General features: G+C 39.6%; 1 long non-coding RNA gene, 1 other non-coding gene and 1 pseudogene across 2 annotated transcripts in view; 2 read left to right on the top strand and 1 right to left on the bottom strand.

The window, feature by feature from the left end:
* The window catches only part of LOC124904410 (uncharacterized), a 41997-nt gene extending 30319 nt beyond the window's left edge, over nucleotides 1–11678 (bottom strand). Inside the window, exon 1 of the long non-coding RNA XR_007066582.1 lies at nucleotides 7809–11678. This is a non-coding gene — a long non-coding RNA (uncharacterized LOC124904410). The remainder of the gene's footprint in view (nucleotides 1–7808) is intronic.
* Nucleotides 11679–15257: 3579 nt separating this feature from the next.
* On the top strand, nucleotides 15258–18150 carry LOC101060227 (uncharacterized; annotated as a pseudogene).
* On the top strand, nucleotides 17804–17878 carry TRN-GTT25-1 (tRNA-Asn (anticodon GTT) 25-1). The gene has a single exon. It is a non-coding gene; the product is annotated as a tRNA-Asn (tRNA).
* Nucleotides 18151–19329: the final 1179 nt, after the last annotated feature.

The raw sequence follows: 19329 nt of genomic DNA, 5'->3' as shown, positions 1-19329 counted from the left end.
ACATGATTTGATATAATGTTTTCAAAAATTAGGGGAATTCTATTCCCAGCATTGTGGTAGACTAAATTTGCTGAATCACTATCCTGCTATATGAAATCTACAAATACCAGATAAAATGTACATGTCATTTTTCAAAAGTATATTACTGACTTGAATAGAAACTAAGGTGAACCACATAGGCCAAGCATAAGGAGAATACATAAATCCAGAGAGGTATGCAGACCCCCAAACCAGAAGCTTCCATAAGGACAGTCCTGGCCCTAGTACCCTGAGCTTCAATTTTTATGACCACCTGGGATATGGGAGAGTGTGAGACAAAACCTAGTGCCTGCCCATTATAGCAGTCTTACAGGAGAAAACTGCTGAAAGCCAGAGATACGAAGGACTATAATTTCAGTGAAAGGATAAACTAGATAAAAACCTGTTCCTCAGCGGGAGACAACCAGGAAATTTTCCTGCCTCAAACTCGGTGCCATTTAGAGGAAAAATGAGAAGGCCATCTTCACATGAATTTGTGGTTTAAATTTTCACTGTAAGTATAAGTTAAAAAAAACCCACACATGAAACTGATAATTTATTTTATAGTTATCCCATGTTGGTATTACCACCAAACACAAGACGAAGGCAAAGTGTCTTTGGAGAAACCCACATTCAGCCCATGTCTCAAAGAATGGCCACAGGTAAAATTTCATCCAAAATGAGAAAAAAGTAAGACTCTTACAAAACTCATGAGGAAATAAACATCATGAGCAGAAACAGAATTATGCCCATAAAGATTTCAGATATTAGGATGATTATATAACTATAAAAGCTGTGTTTAATATGTTTAAAAAATCAATGAGGTGTGCCAGGAATATAAATTGAGACAGTGTATGTATCTTATATTAAGCAGATTGAAACTGAATTTAAGAGATCTTTTAGAAATAAAAAATATAATGAAAATTAAAAACTAAATGGACAGGTTAAACACAATATTGGATAGAACCAAAAAGAAAATAAGTGAGTTGGAAGTTAGACTAAACAAATTATGCTGAAGACAGTACAGAGGAGGAAAGGAAAATGGATATGTGAAATAGAGGTTGAAAAATTAGAGTATCTAATCATATCTGCAAAAGAAAAATTGAATCGGGGGAAGGTTATATTTAAGGTTATATTTAATATCTGAGGGCTTTTCGTCATTGGAATTTATTAATGTTCAAGGAAACCTGGAAAGTTTTCTAACACATTAAAGGAGCTTTAATTATAAGTTCCAAATTCTTCTTAGAAGAAGAGAACCAGCAGGCCCAGACATTTTTACTGGTGAGTTCTATCAAATGTTTTCAAGAAATGGATTATTTCCATTTTATAAAAACAACTCCAGAATAAAAAAAGGTCCATTTGTTCGTTCATTTCATGAGGCCAGTACAACCTTGATACCAATATTATATGAGAAATGTGTAAGACAGGAAAATTACATGCCAACTTTCCTCATGAACCTAACGGCAAACATTTTAAATTAAAAGTTAGCAAATTAAGTTTAGAAGTCTATAAAAAAGATAATATAGTATGAAAATTGTGTTTGTTCCATGAATGCAAGGATTTCTAACAATAGAAAAAAAAACTATGTATAATTCATCACATTAACAAGTTAAAGGAGGAAAAGCAAATCATCATTGTAGGAGAGGCAAAAAGTGAATTCAATAAAATAAAATATTTAACTTTGACAAATCTTGTTTAGCAAACAAGAAATAGAAGAGCTTTCAGTGTTTGCTTATAAATCAGAAACTATTCTTCGTCTTTCAAGCAGAGGTGATTTAATACAGGTGATTGATTACACAAGTGATGGAAGCCAAACCAGGCTTGGTGAGTCAGCAGCCCATATTTAATATATTTATATATTAAATATTTAATTATACTTCAAAACTTTTATGTACACTATAATCTCATTATTGTTTTCTATACTATTATATGCAATATACAAATACAGAAATACAGAAATGTACCTCAGTTTGAAAGAGAACTTGAATATGAGGCAAAAAGATACCCCCAAATTATAGTTACATTACAAGAATTGAATTTAAGAAGGAAGAAGCAAATTGCAAGAGATAAGGCCAAGCCTCTTTAGTAATGATCATTCTAAATCCAATTGGTATAAATTTAGGGACGCACAACTGGATTGCAGTGTAACTAAGAAAGTTTGTGTGTCAATAACCATATTTATCCTATGTGAAGAAATAATAGTTTCATAGGAGAAGGTTAATTGGCATGGAGTCTGTAAAAGAGAAGTTTGGATAGATGATTGAGCTATGTATTTGTCAAATAATATCTAAAGGTAAAAAGAGATCTAGTTCACAGAGGCGAATCTCTGATTTTTCAATTTGCATTAACAGAAACAACATTGGAAGGGAGTATATTAAGATTTTAATAGTGACGATTTCTGCCAATGGTTTCTGTTTTATTGTTTACTATTTTCGGTATATTTCCAATGTTTCTTAATAAGTGTTTATTATTTAAAAAATGAGAAAACAGCAATGAGTAATTCAGTAAAATAAAATTTTTCAAAATTGTGACTGCTATGATTATGAGCCAATTATGAAAGAAAGAGACACAGATAGAAATAGGGTGACCAATCTTTCAACTTACTCAGGAATGAAGGATTTTCTGGATGGGGGATTTTTGTTGCTAAAATCGGGACAGTAGGGGACATGTTGGGACTGTGGAAAAACCCTACAGGGATTTATTTCCTAACTATGAATTTCTATCTTGGTCTAGAGACGACTGTTCTCATAAATAGGTAGAGTAGATGTGGTATTTCTGGAATGAGATTTAACATCTTTACATAGCTTGCCCTATTAAAAGTAGACAAATGCTTGTGAGAGAATATCATATACTTTTGAAAGCTAATGTCTTAACTAATTCGCTGTGAGCAAAGCTCTTGAAGACTGTGATGTAACAGAGATTCCTAGGTATCAGTGAAGATACGGAGATGAAAAAAGGGAAGTTGAAAAAAGAAGCTGAGAGATAAGCATGGAAATCATTTTCCAACCTCATTTTTCCAATCTCCATTTTCCTGTATTGAGAAGTGAAAATATGTTTTCTAGAGATAAAGTTCTAGAAATGAACTCTGACATAGATATTTTAAAACCCATTTCAGAAACAAAATAATATGTGAACCTAGAGTAGTTGTAATTTATGTCCTTTTGTCTGTCTTTATCCTGTAGTTAAGTTTCCCTTGGGATCTCTTTGGGAAAATGGAGTACTGCATTTTACAAGGCAGGACTTGAATTTTCTTTCTTTTCCTTCTTTCTCTCTTTCTTTCTTTCTTTCTTTCCTTTTCTTTCTTCTTTCTCTCTTTTTCTTTCTTCCTTTCCTTCCTTCCTTTTTCTTTTCTTTCTTTCTCTCTTTCTTTCTTCCTCTCTCTCTTTTTCTCTTCTTTCTTTCTTTCTTTGTTCCTTTCTTTCTTTCTTCTTTCTGTCTTCTTTTCCTTCCTTCCTTCCTTCCTTCCTCTTCTTCCTTTCTTTCTCCTTTCTTTCTTTTTTTTTTTTTTTTTTGACATGATCTCACTTTGTCACCCAGGCTAGAGTGCAGTGATGTGATCATAGCTTAATGCAGCCTCTCTCTCCTGGGCTCAAGCAATCCTCCCACCTCAGCTTCCAGAGTACCTGGGGCTACAGCTGCGTGCCACCATGCCCAGCTAAAGGACTTGAATTTTCTTACATATCTTGGCCCTATAGAGTGGCTCTCAACCTTGGCTGCACATGTCTATTACCTGAGAAAAGTTTTAAATAACCTAATACTCAGGTCACACCCTAGACTTTAGGGGTGAGACAAGCATTAATATTTTTTAACACTCTTAGAATTAAGAGCCACTAATATTGTAGCACTGCAATTCCTATAAAGAGAACAGATGTGAGTAGATTTGTTACAGTATTGTTGTATTCATCTGTTTTCATGCTGCTGATAAAGACATACCTGAGACCGGGCAATTTACAAAAGAAAGAGGTTTAATGGACTTACAGTTCCACATGGGTGGGGAGGCCTCACAATCATGGTGGAGGACAAAGAGGAGCAAGTCACATCTTACATGGATGGCAGCAGGCAAAGAGACAGCTTGTGCAGGGAAACTCCCATTTTAAAAATGATCAGATCTCATGAGACTTACTCACTAACACAAGAACAGCACAGGAAAGACCCATCCTCATGATTCAGTTATCTCCCACTGGGCCCCTCCCACAACATGTGGGAATTATGGGAGCTACAAGATGAGATTGGGTGTGGACACAGCCAAACCATATCAATTGTCATCACTCAAGGCAGATGAGTATATAGAAAGCTATCAGTTGTAAGGAATTGGACTAAGTTTAAGAGAATAATAATTAAGATAGAACAAATGTTTGGTCCTGCTTAAGGGCTAGGATAGATGAGGCACAATAGAATCATGTGGGGAGCTGTAAAAATGCCCAGGCCCTACTCTGTGTCAATTAAATCAGAATCCAGAATCTCTGCTTGAGTGTGTCTAGAGTATTGGTCAAAGGAAACAGTGATTTTGATGTGCAGCCAGTTAAGAGCTGATATCCTCAAGGATCATGATGTGACACAGCTGTTTCAGAAGGGTAAATCTCCATACTCCCACTTTAGAAGAAAAGAAAAGGCAAAATGACAAAACAATCAAGCAAAAGGGCTGGAAGAGCTGGTAGATAACAGGGTGTCAACTTGAATTAATTCAGCTCTTTGGTAAAGATTAGCTGGAGTAAAGAAATTCCAGTTAGTCAAATGGGATGAATGTCCTTTTATGGAAACCATATCATGCTTTTTGAATGATCTGAGAAAGACTGGAAGCATTAGAGGTGAAGTATATCCATTTGCTCAATGGGAAAAGATTTTGTTTTATTTTATTTACATAATGTGATATGCTTGGCCATCTGCAGTAGTGCCTGAAAGGGGATGTAAAACGGAAAATGTAGTCAGTGAGACTGATTAATAACCATGGGTAGAAAAATAGGCCAAGTGGAAAAACTTATTCATATAGTTGCTTCATTTTGCTGACTGCAAAAGGATTTGTTTTGGAAGTGATTTCTGCTCTTTAACCTAGTGGATTGATAGATCACAGAAAGGTCTTAGAAATGACATTACATAATTTTGTTCATAACATGAAATTAGCTTGAATCAAAAAATGTATACCATTTTTTGTATCTACCTTCTAAGACATTTGTCTTGAGAAATTAATGATTCTACAACATAAATAGTCATTGTGAAAGGAAGGAAAAAGATAACAGAGGGCTTTCATAATAATCATGGACTCAAGATTATCTAATTTAAAAAGACATATCTCATTTTCCTTTACTTAAACATAAAACAAATGAGAGAAAACAGAAATAGCTCATAATTTTATTTATCTGATAAAACATGCTGACATAAAAATATAATTCATGCACCCAGTAAGAAAATCAAAAAATTAAATAAAGGTAAAAATGAAATATAAAATTCTCTTTCCTCTAGTCTCTTACCCCCAGACATCTAGAATCTCTCCTTAAGATAATCACTGTTGACAATTCCTTGAGTATCTTTTTAAAAATGACCTTAATACACATCCCCCGTATAGAATATAGATCTTAAACAAGTTAGAAAATAAAATTTTATCTTTTAGTATTACACAAAAGGATGTTCAGAACTAGGCTTTGTATTTTTTTTTTCTAGAGATGAGGTCTCACTGTGTTGCCCAGGTTGGTCTCAAACTCCTGGGCTCAAGCAATCCTCCCGCCTCAGTCTCCAAAAGTGTTGGGATTATAAGCATGAGATGAAGTCTTGCCTGGCCTAGGCTTTCTATTTTTGTTTAATAATTTACCTTCAAGATATTCTTAACTTTTAACAACTGTATTGTATAAATATATTTTTTATTTAAACAATAGGCTACCAATAACATTAATAACATATCTTGGTTTATGTATTTTACAAGATTCTCCATGTGATAAATTCCAACCTGAGAAGTTGCTATAGAACATATGAATTTAACATTTTTTAATTGCTGCGATCTAATATGATCCTAAAACATGGCCCTAGTTTATATTCCTATGAGAATGTCTAATACCTACACTCTTGCTAACATTGACTGCTATTGCATTTTAAAGACTCATTAATTTGATTGGATTGATGTTGAACATCTTCTGTTACTCTTGGCCATTGCATTTCTTTTTCTACCTATTAATCTCCCTTGTATAATATTGCATTATTTGTCTTTTTTGTCTCATTTATCGACAAAGATTAAAGTTATTGGCAGTAGTGAAAATGGAGAAAAAAATCAAAATTCAAATACTGTAGAGTACAATATTTTGGAGAATAATTTGATTCTATATATTGAAATTTAAATTGTCTTTAATCTTTGACCCAGTTATTCTCTTTCTAGTAATTTTTCTACCCAAATAATAATTCAGGAAGAAAACCTTTACAGAGATTATTCTTATAATGTTTGTGATACAATATTTACGGGCAACATAAATTCTCATCCAGAGATCGGAGTAAATATTATATAGTATATCTGTAGAACGAAATGTACCTTGCTGTTTAAATGAATAAATTAGTTATTATCATAAAATAAATGTCATGTAAAGACATTTATTTTATGGTGTATAAAATTAGAAAAACAAGTTATTAAAAATAACATGATTTTTTGTAAAATGCTTTTATTTTGTTTTTAATTGACATAATAATTGCACATGTTTATGGGGTACAGTGTGGTGCTTTAGTGCATGTGTACATTGCATAATGGTCAAATTTAAAAATTAAATGTATTGATAGAAGAAGTGTTTGGATATTTGTATCCTAAATGCTAACAGTGATGATATCTGGAATGTGGAACTGCTGGTAATTTTTCCCTTTTTCTTTTAGAGATTTTTGTACTTATTTTTAATAATAAACATATACTAATTTTATAATAAAAATAACAATGAAGTCCTTTCCATTTTGAAAAATTAATTCCAATAGAAAAATACTGTACTCGAGCCACTTTCCAGGGTTTTCTTATTCTTAGTGCTGGTATAAGGTACCAGTGATATTATATTTTCAGATATGTTTGGCTTTTCTGCCTTATGGTTGAAGATGAGCTTAGGAAGTATTGCTGCCTAATTTTCAGGCTTTTGAGCCAATGCTTGGTGCACAAAAAGCACCACATCAACTTTAAACAGAATATTCTGCTTCTTTAGACTGTATTTCCTACTTTTTATAGTATTTATTAGCGCCAGAACTCTGTGACTGTTTCCCAAAGAACAAGAGAGAAAGATCAAGGAAAGTGAGAAGCAATGAAACTAGATTTAATTAATACTCTGGCTTGTCAGCAGCTTTCATGAAAGATTTGTTTGTTGAAGAAGTTGAACCTATTAGCTTAAACAGGGATTAACTCTGCCAACTCTGACAGAGCATGGACAATTAAGAGTTTATTGGAAATTAATTGAAAATAATACAGTGTTGTGAGGTGGGATGAAGATGATTTCCTTTAAGGAAATTATGCCAAGTGTTTTGAATCAGCCAAGGATAAACAAATGCAGACTATCATTTGATGGAGGTATTATAAACTGATAACATGATTCGAAGTATAAGAATGGCAAATTGTGAAGAATGAATAAAATTACAGAGATAAATAGCAAAAATGTGAAACTAAAATAAAGAGGAACAGTGAGTAAACGGGGTTAGCTGAGAATATGGTTTAACAGGGCATACTCTATTCATTTATGAAGAAATTTTAATCCTCAAAATGCTACTTGTCTTAGTCTGTGTAGGCTGCTGTAACAAAATACCACAAGCTGAGTAACTTATAAACAACAGAAATTTCTTACAGTTGTGCAGGCTGGGAAGTCCAATATCAAGGCAGATTCAGCATCTGGGGTGAGGTTCACCCTTCTGGCTCATAGATGGCAACTTCCTGCTGTATCCCCATACTTTGGAAGGGGCCAATGAGCTCTCTGGGGTCTCTTTTATGAGGGCTCAAATCCCATTCATGAGAATCTTGTCCTCATGACCTAATCACCTCCCCAAGGCTCTATCTCCTAACACGAGTAGCTTGGGGGTTAGGATTTCAATATACAAATTTGGGGGGACATAAACAGTCAGTCTGTGACATTGCCATTTCATCAGTAAGAATTTTCATGAACTCACTATTAAGATTTATGTTTAGGTTTTTTATGCGGATGTTCTCACTTTATAATATTGTTTGTCTGCATAGTTTAAAGAAAAGGACAATGCCCAATTAGAACAGGAGGTGTCTTTTTTGGCCAGCAAAATATTTTAAGATGCCTTGAGTGTGACCCTACATAGAGATCATCAAGGTAACATCATTTTGTTCTTGTTCTAGATCCACATGTTTCACTCAAGATCCTAGAAAGAAAATGTATGAAAACACATTGGAAGACAATAATCCATCCTTACAATGCTAGCCAATGTTTATTATTGCTTTCTATGTGTGAGGAATTGTGTTAAACACTTAAAAAGATGTTATCCCTCATAATTATCATAACACCTGAAGAAGTAGGTGGGGTGATTTTCTCCAATTTAGATATTATAGGAACTGAAACACTTGCCCACTAAACAGGCAATTGAAAGAGATAGGATTTCTATAGAAAATTGCCAGCTCCACAGCTAGTGTTCCTATTCTCATCATTAGTGTTCCCTTAGTGGTTTTGATATTACACCTAATACTATTTAATACAAAATTAAAGCATCCACCCTATTCTGGGATTTACTGTCAAGAATAGAGCACTGAGCCTGATAAACAGCATCCACTTTGGAATGCATGTTTCTATCCAGCTACTTAATATGACATAAGTTCATTGGACATTAAGGCCAGATTTCTTGACATGCTTTACCCTCAAATTAACAAGTTTGGCTTATTCAATTGTGGACCTTTAACCCTTAGGCCAGATAGTATATGAGGCCTAGAGTAGTGGAAAAAGGTAACTGGATTTACAAAATTTGACTCTTCAAATTCTGTAAGAATTCAATATATTGAGGAAAGTTTAGGTGCATAGTAAAATTATAATTTCATATTGTTGCACAGACTCAGGCAGATGAAAGAGACTCCAATAGTGGTCAGGTAGTACCCACACAGTCAGTTGATTGTCTCTGTGCTGAAAGGATTTAAGAATGAAGAAGAGTTTGCTCCAATGTATGTTTCAATATCTCATTGTTTTACAATAATATTTGAAATAATACCTAGGAACCCAACTTACAAGGGATGTGAAGGACCTATTCAAGGAGAACTACAAACCACTGCTCAAGGAAATAAAAGAGGACACAAACAAATGGAAGAACATTCCATGCTCATGGATAGGAAGAATCAATATCGTGAAAATGGCCATACTGCCCAAGGTAATTTATAGATTCAATGCCATCCCCATCAAGCTACCAATGACTTTCTTTACAGAATTGGAAAAAAACTACTTTAAAGTTCATACGGAAACAAAAAAGAACCCGCATTGCCAAGTCAATCCTAAGCGAAAAGAACAAAGCTGGAGGCATCACGCTACCTGACTTCAAACTAGACTATGAGGCTACAGTAACCAAAACAGCATGGTACTTGTACCAAACAGAGATATAGACCAATGGAACAGAACAGAGCCCTCAGAAATAACACCACACATCTACAACCATCTGATCTTTGACAAACCTGACAAAAGCAAGAAATGGGGAAAGGATTCCCTGTTTAATAAATGGTGCTGGGAAAACTGGCTAGCCATATGTAGAAAGCTGAAACTGGGTCCCTTCCTTACACCTTATACAAAAATTAATTCAAGATGGATTAAAGACTTACATGTTAGACCTAAAACCATAAAAACCCTAGAAGAAAACCTAGGCAATACCATTCAGGACACAGGCATGGCAAGGACTTCATGTCTAAAACACTGAAAGCAATGGCAATAAAAGCCAAAATTGACAAATGGGATCTAATTAAACTAAAGAGCTCCTACACAGCAAAAGAAACTACCATCAGAGTGAACAGGCAGCCTACAGAATGGGAGAACATTTTTGCAATCCACTCATCTGACAAAGGGCTAATATCCAGAATCTACAATGAACTCAAACAAATTTACAAGAAAAAACAAACAACCCCATCAACAAGTGGGTGAAGTATATGAAGAGACACTTCTCAAAAGAAGACATTTATGCAGCCAACAGACACATGAAAAAATGCTCATCATCACTGGCCATCAGAGAAATGCAAATCAAAACCACAATGAGATACCATCTCACACCAGTTAGAATGGCGATCATTAAAAAGTCAGGAAACAACAGGTGCTGGAGAGGATGTGGAGAAATAGGAACACTTTCACACTGTTGGTGGGACTGTAAACTGGTTAAATCATTGTGGAAGACAGTGTGGTGATTCCTCAAGGATCTAGAACTAGAAATACCATTTGACCTAGCCATCCCATTACTGGGTATATACCCAAAGGATTATAAATCATGCTGCTATAAAGACACACGCACACGTATGTTTATTGCGGCACTATTCACAATAGCAAAGACTTGGAACCAACCCAAATGTCCATCAGTGATAGACTGGATTAAGAAAATGTGGCACATATACACCATGGAATACTATGCAGCCATGAAAAAGGATGAGTTCATGTCCTTTGTAGGGACATGGATGAAGCTGGAAACCATCATTCTCAGCAAACTATCACAAGGACAAAAAACCAAACACCGCATGTTCTCACTCACAGGTGGGAATTGAACAATGAGAAGACATGGATACAGGAAAGGGAACATCACACACTGGGGCCTGCTCTGTGGTGGGGGGCTGGGGGAGGGATAGCATTAGGAGATATACCTAATGTAAAAGATGAGTTAATGGGTGCAGCACACCAACATGGCACATGTATACATATGTAACAAACCAGCACGTTGTGCACATGTACCCTAGAACTTAAAGTATAATAAAAAAAATTAAAATATTCTGAAGTCACAGTGACTGTCTTGGCTTCTCTTAATTTATGAGGACCTTTGTCTTATAGACTCTTTTTTTTAAAAAAAGATGGGGTCTTGCTATGTTGTCCATGCTGGAGTGCAGTGGCTATTCACAGGCTTGATCATTGCATACTACAGTCTGGAACTCCTGGACTCAAGTCTCCCAGTGGCTGGGAATACAGGTGAGTGCCTACCACACCTAGCCTGATTTACAGATTTTTGACATCTATTATAGTTAAATGTATTTTCAGCATTTGCATATTAAAGGAATAATATTGATGCTTAACTTCATTAGTGATCAGGGAATTCCAAATTTAAAAAAAATTTTTTCATCTCTTATAGTATATTTAAAAATTCATTGCTGATAAGGATTCAGGGACGCCAACATTGTACATTGGTAGTGAAAATGGAAATTGGAAACTTTCTGTAATCTGACAGTAATTATGTTTTTAAAAATCCTTTTGAACTTGCAGTTCTACTTTTGGGATTTGAATTTATGGAAAGTAAAGTGCCAGTGAGAAAGAATATTGTTGCCCCTTGAACAACATAGGGTTAGGGGAGCTGGCCTCCCACACAGTGAAAAATCCGCATACAACTTTTGATTCCCCCCAAACTACTAATAACCTATTGTTGACCAGAAGGCTTACTGATAACATGCATTACATTTAAGACATATTTTGCATGCTATGTGTATTATATACTGTATTCTTACAATAAACTAAGCTACAGAAAAAAAATTATAATCAAGAAAATTGTAAGGAAGAGAAAATATATGACCCATTCATTAAGTGGAAGTGGATCACCCTAAAGGTCTTCATCATTGTTGTCTTCATGTTGAGTAGGCAGAGGAGGAGGAGGAGGAGCTGGTCTTTGTGTCTTAGGGTAGCAGAGGTGGAAGAGGGTGAAGGGATGGAAGGGGAAGCAAAAGAGGCAAGCACACTTGGTGAAACTTTACAAAAATACATCGTTATTTCTGTCTATTTTGCTTTTTCATTTCTCTAAAAACATTTCAGTGTAGTACCTATCCGTCTTCCACCATTTGCTTTAGTTTCAGTTCCTGTATCATGGAACGGTCTATGTCATAAAAGAAGTCAAAAGTAGTCTTGAATAATCAAAGCTCTTTTGCCAGATTGTTGAATGCCAATTTGTTTTCTGGCACTGCTTTTCCTATGTCTTCTTCCTCATTATCTGGCACTGGTTAGGAAGCACTCATCTCCATGAAGTCATCTTTTGTTAATTCCTCTGGTGTGGTGTGTATTAGCTCTTAAATTCCTCCAAGATCCATATCTTGCAACCCTTCACTCCACACCTTTTTTTCCCTTCATATCCATACTTCTTTCCATGGTTTTCTCTAAATTGGATTTGTCGTAATTCTGTAGCTATGCACAACATCTGGACACAAATTGTACTTTTGTCCAGCACGAATTTATTGTTTTGAGTTTCATGGTTTTCTATATCAACTGATGACATCTTGAAAGGTGTAAGCCTTCCAGACTTCCATGATGTTCTCTCTATTGGGTTTCTCTTTTGCAATGTTGACAAACCTTTCCATAGAGTGCCATATGTAGAGCCTTAAAGGTCCTTATGACTCCCTTATCTAGAGGCTGAAGTAGAGATGTGTTTGGGGGAAAAGGAGAACACTTCAGTGCCTTTGGTGTTGAACTCATGGGGTTCTGGGTGGCCAGGGGGCATTTTCCAATTAAACAACAACAACAAAAAACTTTAAAAAGCAGTCCCTTACTGGCAAGGTACTTCTGACTTCAGGGACAAAGCATTGATGGAACTAATCCAGAAAAAGCATTCTCATAGTCCAGGCCTTCTTGTTGTACAACCAAAAGACTGGCAACTAGTGTTTCTCTTTTCCCTTTCAAGACTCAGGGGTTAGCAGCTTTATAGTTAAGGGCAGCCCTGATCATAAACCCGACTACATTTGCACAAAGCAGTAGAGTTAGCCTATCCCTTCCTGCCTTAAATCTTGGTGCTTGCTTCTCTTCCTTACTAATAAATGACCTTACTAATAAATGATTCTCCTGCCTCAGCCTCCCTAGTAGCTGGGACTACAGGTGCCCGCCATGACGCCCGGCTAATTTTTGTATTTTTATTAGAGACGAGGTTTCACCATGTTGGTCAGGCTGGTCTCAAACTCCTGATCTCAAGTGATCCACCCACCTCAGCCTCCCAGAGTGCTGGGATTACAGGTGTGAGCTACCGCGCCCAGCCCGCACCTGCAGCTTAATCCCATTTCGCTGGTGCAACTTCATCCTTCCGTATGCTCAGGCCAATAAACAGTACTGTAAGCTGGTCGTTCTTTGACCCCCATACATCCTATTGGTCGGAAAATTATGTTTTCTCTTTGGTTAACCGCAGACTTTGATATGCACACTCTTTCTTGGTCTGAAACCCACCCAATAGTCCCATACGTAGATTTTTGGATAAACATAGAAATGGACCCTTCTGATCTGAAAGTTTGAAACTCGATATTTGTTTTATTTGAGTTCTTTCCTTCAGGCCTCTCAAAAAAGATATCAAAGAACTGAAAGTCACCCAGACAATGAGATGTCGGACCCCTCATTCATCCTGATTGCTTCCTTACCCCTCCCTAGTTCCTGTTTTCTTTCTTTTCTTTTTTCTTTTTTTTCTTTTTTCTTTTTGAGACAGAGTCTCCCTCTGCCTCCCAGGCTGGAGTGCAGTGGCGCTATCTTGGCTCACTGCAAGCTCCGCCTCCCGGGTTCACGCCATTCTCCTGCCTCAGCCTCCTGAGTAGCTGGGACTACAGGAGCCCGCCACCACGCCCGGCTAATTTCTTTTCGTATTTCTAGTAGAGATGGGGTTTCACCGTGTTAGCCAGGATGGTCTCGATCTCCTGACCTCGTGATCCGCCCGCCTCGGCCTCCCAAAGTGCTGGGATTACAGGCGTGAGCCACCGTGCCTGGTCTAGTTCCTGTTTTCTTACACATTGTCACATTCTTTCCCTGCCATCTAAGCCTCTAGTTTTGGTTGGTCAGGGAGATGGATTTGAGACTGAGTTCTCATCTCCTCCGCTGCAGCACCCTATTAAAGCCTCTTCCTTGGCAATAACCGTCTCAGTGATTGGTTTTCTGTGTGACAAGCAGCGGGAACCCCAGGTCTCTGAACTTTGGCAAAGGAATCTCCTGATAAAGGCGGGATCGATTTTACTGACCAAGCTGAAAACGATCAGACGTTTGAAAGCCTTAATCTCAGAGCCTGTCGGAGTTTGGTCTGCCCTTGAGGCTTTTCTTTGGGCCTACCAGTCAAAATCAGCCTGGCCAAACCTGTCTTCAAGGACCAGGGGCAGGGCCGGCTTCTCCTGCCGGGTCGGCAGCCACCTTCCCCTTCCCTGTGACTTGAAGAGAAGCTTCAGGGGGCGTTTATTCAATTTGCGAGAAGCCCGCGAGGCGCAGGTGCGCGGTGACTCTGTGGTTCCCACCGCACCCGCTGCCCTCTTTGGTCCTCTCGCTGTCACCGGCGGGCAGTAACGTTCCGGGTGAGCTAGGGCTCCGAAGACACCAGGCAGGGAGGGACCAGTGGGTAAGGGCACCGCCCGTTTAGGTCCTGCGCAGGAGGGATCCGAAAAAGGTCTTGAAGAAATAGAAAGGGAGGGCCAGATGCGGTGGCTCACGCCTGTAATCCCAGCACTTTGGGAGGCCGAGGTGGGTGGATCACGAGGTCACGAGTTCGAGACCAGCCTGGCCAAGATGGTGAAACCCTGTCTCTACTAAAACTACAACAAGTAGCCAGGCACGGTGACGGGCGCCTGTAATCCCAGCTACTCAGGAGGCTGAGGCAGGAGAATCTCTAGAACCCAGGAGGCGGAGGTGCAGTGAGCTGAGACTGCCCCGCTGCACTCTAGCCTGGGCAACACAGCAAGACTCTGTCTCAAATAAATAAATAAATAAATAAATAAATAAATAGGGAGAGTTGGAAGTAGATCAAAGAGAAGAAAAGAAATCCTAGATTTCCTGTCTGAAGGCACCATGAAGATGAAGGCCACCTCTTCTGGGCCAGGTCCTCCCGTTGCAGGTGAACCGAGTTCTGGCCTCCATTGGAGACCAAAGGAGATGACTTTGGCCTGGCTCCTAGTGAGGAAGCCATGCCTAGTCCTGTTCTGTTTGGGCTTGATCCTGTAGCACTTGATTGTCTCTCCTGGACTTTCCATGGATTCCAGGGATGCAACTGAGAAGTTTATTTTTAATGCACTTACTTGAAGTAAGAGTTATTTTAAAACATTTTAGCAAAGGAAATGAATTCTGACAGGTTTTGCACTGAAGACATTCACATGTGAGGAAAACAGGAAAACCACTATGCTAGAAAAAGCAAATGCTGTTGAGATTGTCTCACAAACACAAATTGCGTGCCAGCAGGTAGGTTTGAGCCTCAGGTTGGGCACATTTTACCTTAAGCGCACTGTTGGTGGAACTTAAGGTGACTGTAGGACTCATATATAAATACATACATATAATATATATACATATTTATGTGTATATATATACACACACATACACACACACACACACACACACACACACACACACAGGGTCTTGCTATCTTGCCCAGGGTGGTCTCCAACTCTGGGTCTCAAGCGATCCTCTGCCTCCCCTTCCCAAAGTGCTGGGATTACAGGTGTGAGCCACCTCGCCCAGGCCATTTTAATTTTAATTTAATACTTTTAATTTGAATACACAATCCAAAAATCATATAACAAGTACAGGAAACCCACTTTATGCCAAGTTTACAAAAACAGGAAAGATATGTCAATGACAAAGCGTCAAAGTGGCAACATCCTAAAGTACTGAGAGAAAAAAATTTATTCTAGAATTCTATACCAAATTGAAATATCTTTCAAAAATGTGACTGAAATCAGGACATTTAAAGACATACAAAAAAATGACAGAATTCACCGAACCACACTACAGGAAATATTAAAGGAGTCCTCCAGGCCTAAGGATAAGGATATCAAACAGAAATCTGAACCTACACAAAGAAATGGAGACGACTGAAAATCGCTATGTACGTACTTGGATGTTGGGGTTTATAACATGTCCAAAATCAAATTCCCTGACAACACTAGCATAAAGGCCAGAAGGGGAGGTATAATGTCACTTGATGGCAGACGGATAAAGATGTATTCTAGGGACCCTAAAGCCATCACTGACATAACAAAAGAAAGAGTTACAGCTAATAAGCCAAATAAGGAAAGAAAATAGAATGATATATATTAAAAAAACATGTAATCGCTGGGTGCGGTGGCTCATGCCTGTAATCCTAGCACTTTGAGAGGCCAAGGCAGGCAGATCACTTGAGGTCAGGAGTTTGAGACCGGCCTGGCCAAAACGGTGAAACCCCGTCTCTACTAAAAATACAAAAATTAGCCCGATGTGGTGGCTCGCGCGGACCTGTAATCTCAGCTACTTGGGAGGCTGAAGCAGGAGATTCGCTTGAACCCGGGAGGCGGAGGTTGCAGTGAGAGCTGAGATGGCGCCACTGCACTCCAGCCTGGGTGACAGAGCGAGACTCTGTCTCAAAAATAAATAAATAAATAAACAAACAAACAAACAAAAACTGTGTAATCCCTATGCTGGAGCAACTGCTCTCCAGGCCTCTACCCTATAGAAATACACAAATGGCCAATGAGAAGTGTACAAGAATGATCACTGCCGCATTATTTGCAATCATAAAATAGTAGCGCCAAAGTAATTTCAAAGATACATGAAAATCGTTTTATTTATTTAAGAAACACAAACAATTGAACAAACAATGGAAGCAAGTCCTTTTGCCTAAAGGAACACAGAGGGTCATGCGGATGTTGCTCCTCCAAGGATTTCGGTGTTCCCCAACGGCTAGTTTTGGGTCTAGTTCTTCTGGAAGATCTTATTCTTGGGGAGCTACAGGTTCTGGCGTTTGGGGCTCTTTCAGGTTCTATCTCCATTTTCCCCTCAATTCCTCCCCATTCTGCTATAATAAAAAAAAATTCTCACCTCCGGAAGATCCCGCCTGTGCCTCCCCGCCAGCCTTTCAGGAGGTCTGGACGTCTGGTCCACCGCTCCCCGGCTTCTTTCCCCGCTTTTGCTTTTCCCCTCCCCTGCTCCCGCCCTCCGGCCTCAGGACCCGACCACCGCCCAGCTGAGCCCCCGCGGCTCCACGGCGCAGAAGGTGCACTGGAGGCCCTGCCCGTTGCCGCCCCGCGGGGTGCCAAGAAGTCAACGTAAATAAATGCTTTGTAAAAGGAACTTCCCCATGGAAAAATCTCTCATGATTTCCATTCTCAAGGCTCTTCAAAGGACTAAAAGCTAAAAGGATGGATTCATTCGACAAGTCCTAGTCCTGCGCCCTGGTGAGTGCCAGACCCTGCTCCCCGCGAGGGGGACCCACGAGCCACCCTCACCACGATCCCTGCCCTGGTGGAGCCCCCGTGCGGAACACAGGATCCGAAGATGGCAGCGGAAGCTCCGCAGCGGCCCCAAAAGCGACTGGGCAGGGAGGGCACAGGCTCCCTCACTGGGTGAAGGCGGCGCAAAGAACGGGAAGAGCCATCCCGGGAGCCACCGGGCGTTCAGCCTCCCTAGGGCCCCCAGGCGGCTTGGGCCGCGGTCTCAACCGGGGCGTTTCCGGGGGTTTCTGAAGCAGGCGAGGGGCAGGGCGGGCGAAGGCCATTCGGCTATCCTTCTGGCTCCAGAATCTCCCAACGCGCAGGTGTCCAACGTGACCAGCGCGACTTACCGCTCCAATCTCTCCGGTCTTCCAAGGCCTTGCTCAGTCGTCCTGCTGGGCGGGCCCTGAGGATGCAAGGGACGGAGGAAGTTTCGTGCGTGCGCCCTTCCTATAGCGCCCAGTAGAACTGACAGTACCTGTCTCTGTGGCGCAATTGGTTAGCGCGTTCGGTTGTTAACCGTAAAGGTTGGTGGTTCGAGCCCACCCAGGAACGCTTGTTCGAGCTTTTAAAGTATTAATGCATTGTCAATCACTAGATAAATGGGGAAGATTTTATCTTCCCGGAGTCCTAAGCCACTAATTTGTGACTTATCCATGTCAAGGGCCAGCCTACCTCCCCGACCGGATTCTTAACCGGGTATCTCCTGAAATCCTGGGTTTATACGTGTGTAACTCAGGAATCCTGAAACAGAGACCTAGGAACCCACTTCTGGTGTGATAAAATTCTAATTCAGTCCGTTATACGCTTAAACGAGTAATTTACATGCCTCCATTTTTTCATATTTTAATAATAGGTCAGTAATACCCCGAGGATGTGCCTGGATTTACTGATTGCTCAATAATGTGACCAGTGGAATCATTCATCATCATAGTGATCCTCTCCATCATTTTTGAAAAGAGTATTTTTCCTCAGTTTGTGCATGATTTATTTAACCCTTTTCAAAATGTTTTTGTTAGCCAGGCGTGGTGGCATGTGCCTGTAATCCCAGGTACTTGGGATTCTGAGGCAGGAGAATCATTTGAACCTGGGAGGTGGAGGCTGCAGTGGAGGCTGCACCAGTGGAGGCTGCACCGCTACACTCCCGCCTGGGCAACAGAGCAAGACTCCATCTCAAAAAAAAATAAAAATAAAAAAATAAAGTTTTTGAGATGAGGTAGGTTTCATTGTTTTAGGATTACAAAGAATGCTGCAGCCACCTTTCTTGTACACATATCTTTGGTCATTGTGGAAATGTCTACACCGCAGATGTTTCTATAGTGTAGGGAAGTTGATGCACTATTGCTACATTATAGGGTTTACATGATGCTTCTAATTTGAGTACATTCCGCAAATGTATCTTTCACGGGAGCCATACCAAATAATATTCCAATAGCAATATTTATAGGAGGAAAAATGTGCAGAAGTGCAATTGAGCTTCGTGCCTCTCCATGGGGCCCATGTTCATAAAATGGTGGCATTAGCAATCATCTGAGAGTGGAGTTTGTGGCCCTCTGACATCAAAAGCTGAAGCAGAGGACATGAAAACCCTCACTGTGCATCCTCTCTAGTCTGGCCAGAATCATTCCTAGGTCGGTGGTCTCTTATCAGGAGGGAATGCTGCTTGCTTGTTTTGTCAAAATCACAAAACTGAGGAAAAGCATCAGGCCGTTGGTTGATAACAGTGGTGAAGCAAGTCTTTCCATAGGGCTGGTTTGTTGTTAACCCTTAGGGAAAAAAAAAAGCCTTTTTTTTTTTTTTTTTTTTTTTTTTTGAGACAGAGTCTCTCTCTGTCGCCCAGGCTGGAGTGCAGTGGCGCGATCTCGGCTCACTGCAAGCTCCGCCTCTCGGGTTCAGGCCATTCTCCTGCCTCAGCCTCCCGAGTAGCTGGGACTACAGGCGCCCGCCACCATGCCCGGCTAATTTTTTTTATTTTTAGTAGAGATGGGGTTTTACCGTGTTAGCCA

This window comes from Homo sapiens, chromosome 1, assembly GCF_000001405.40.
Source record: "Homo sapiens chromosome 1, GRCh38.p14 Primary Assembly".
Classification (NCBI taxonomy): Eukaryota; Metazoa; Chordata; class Mammalia; order Primates; family Hominidae; genus Homo; species Homo sapiens.
The sequence above is the reverse complement of the archived record's forward strand: the minus strand, read 5'-3'. Positions and strand labels throughout refer to the sequence as shown.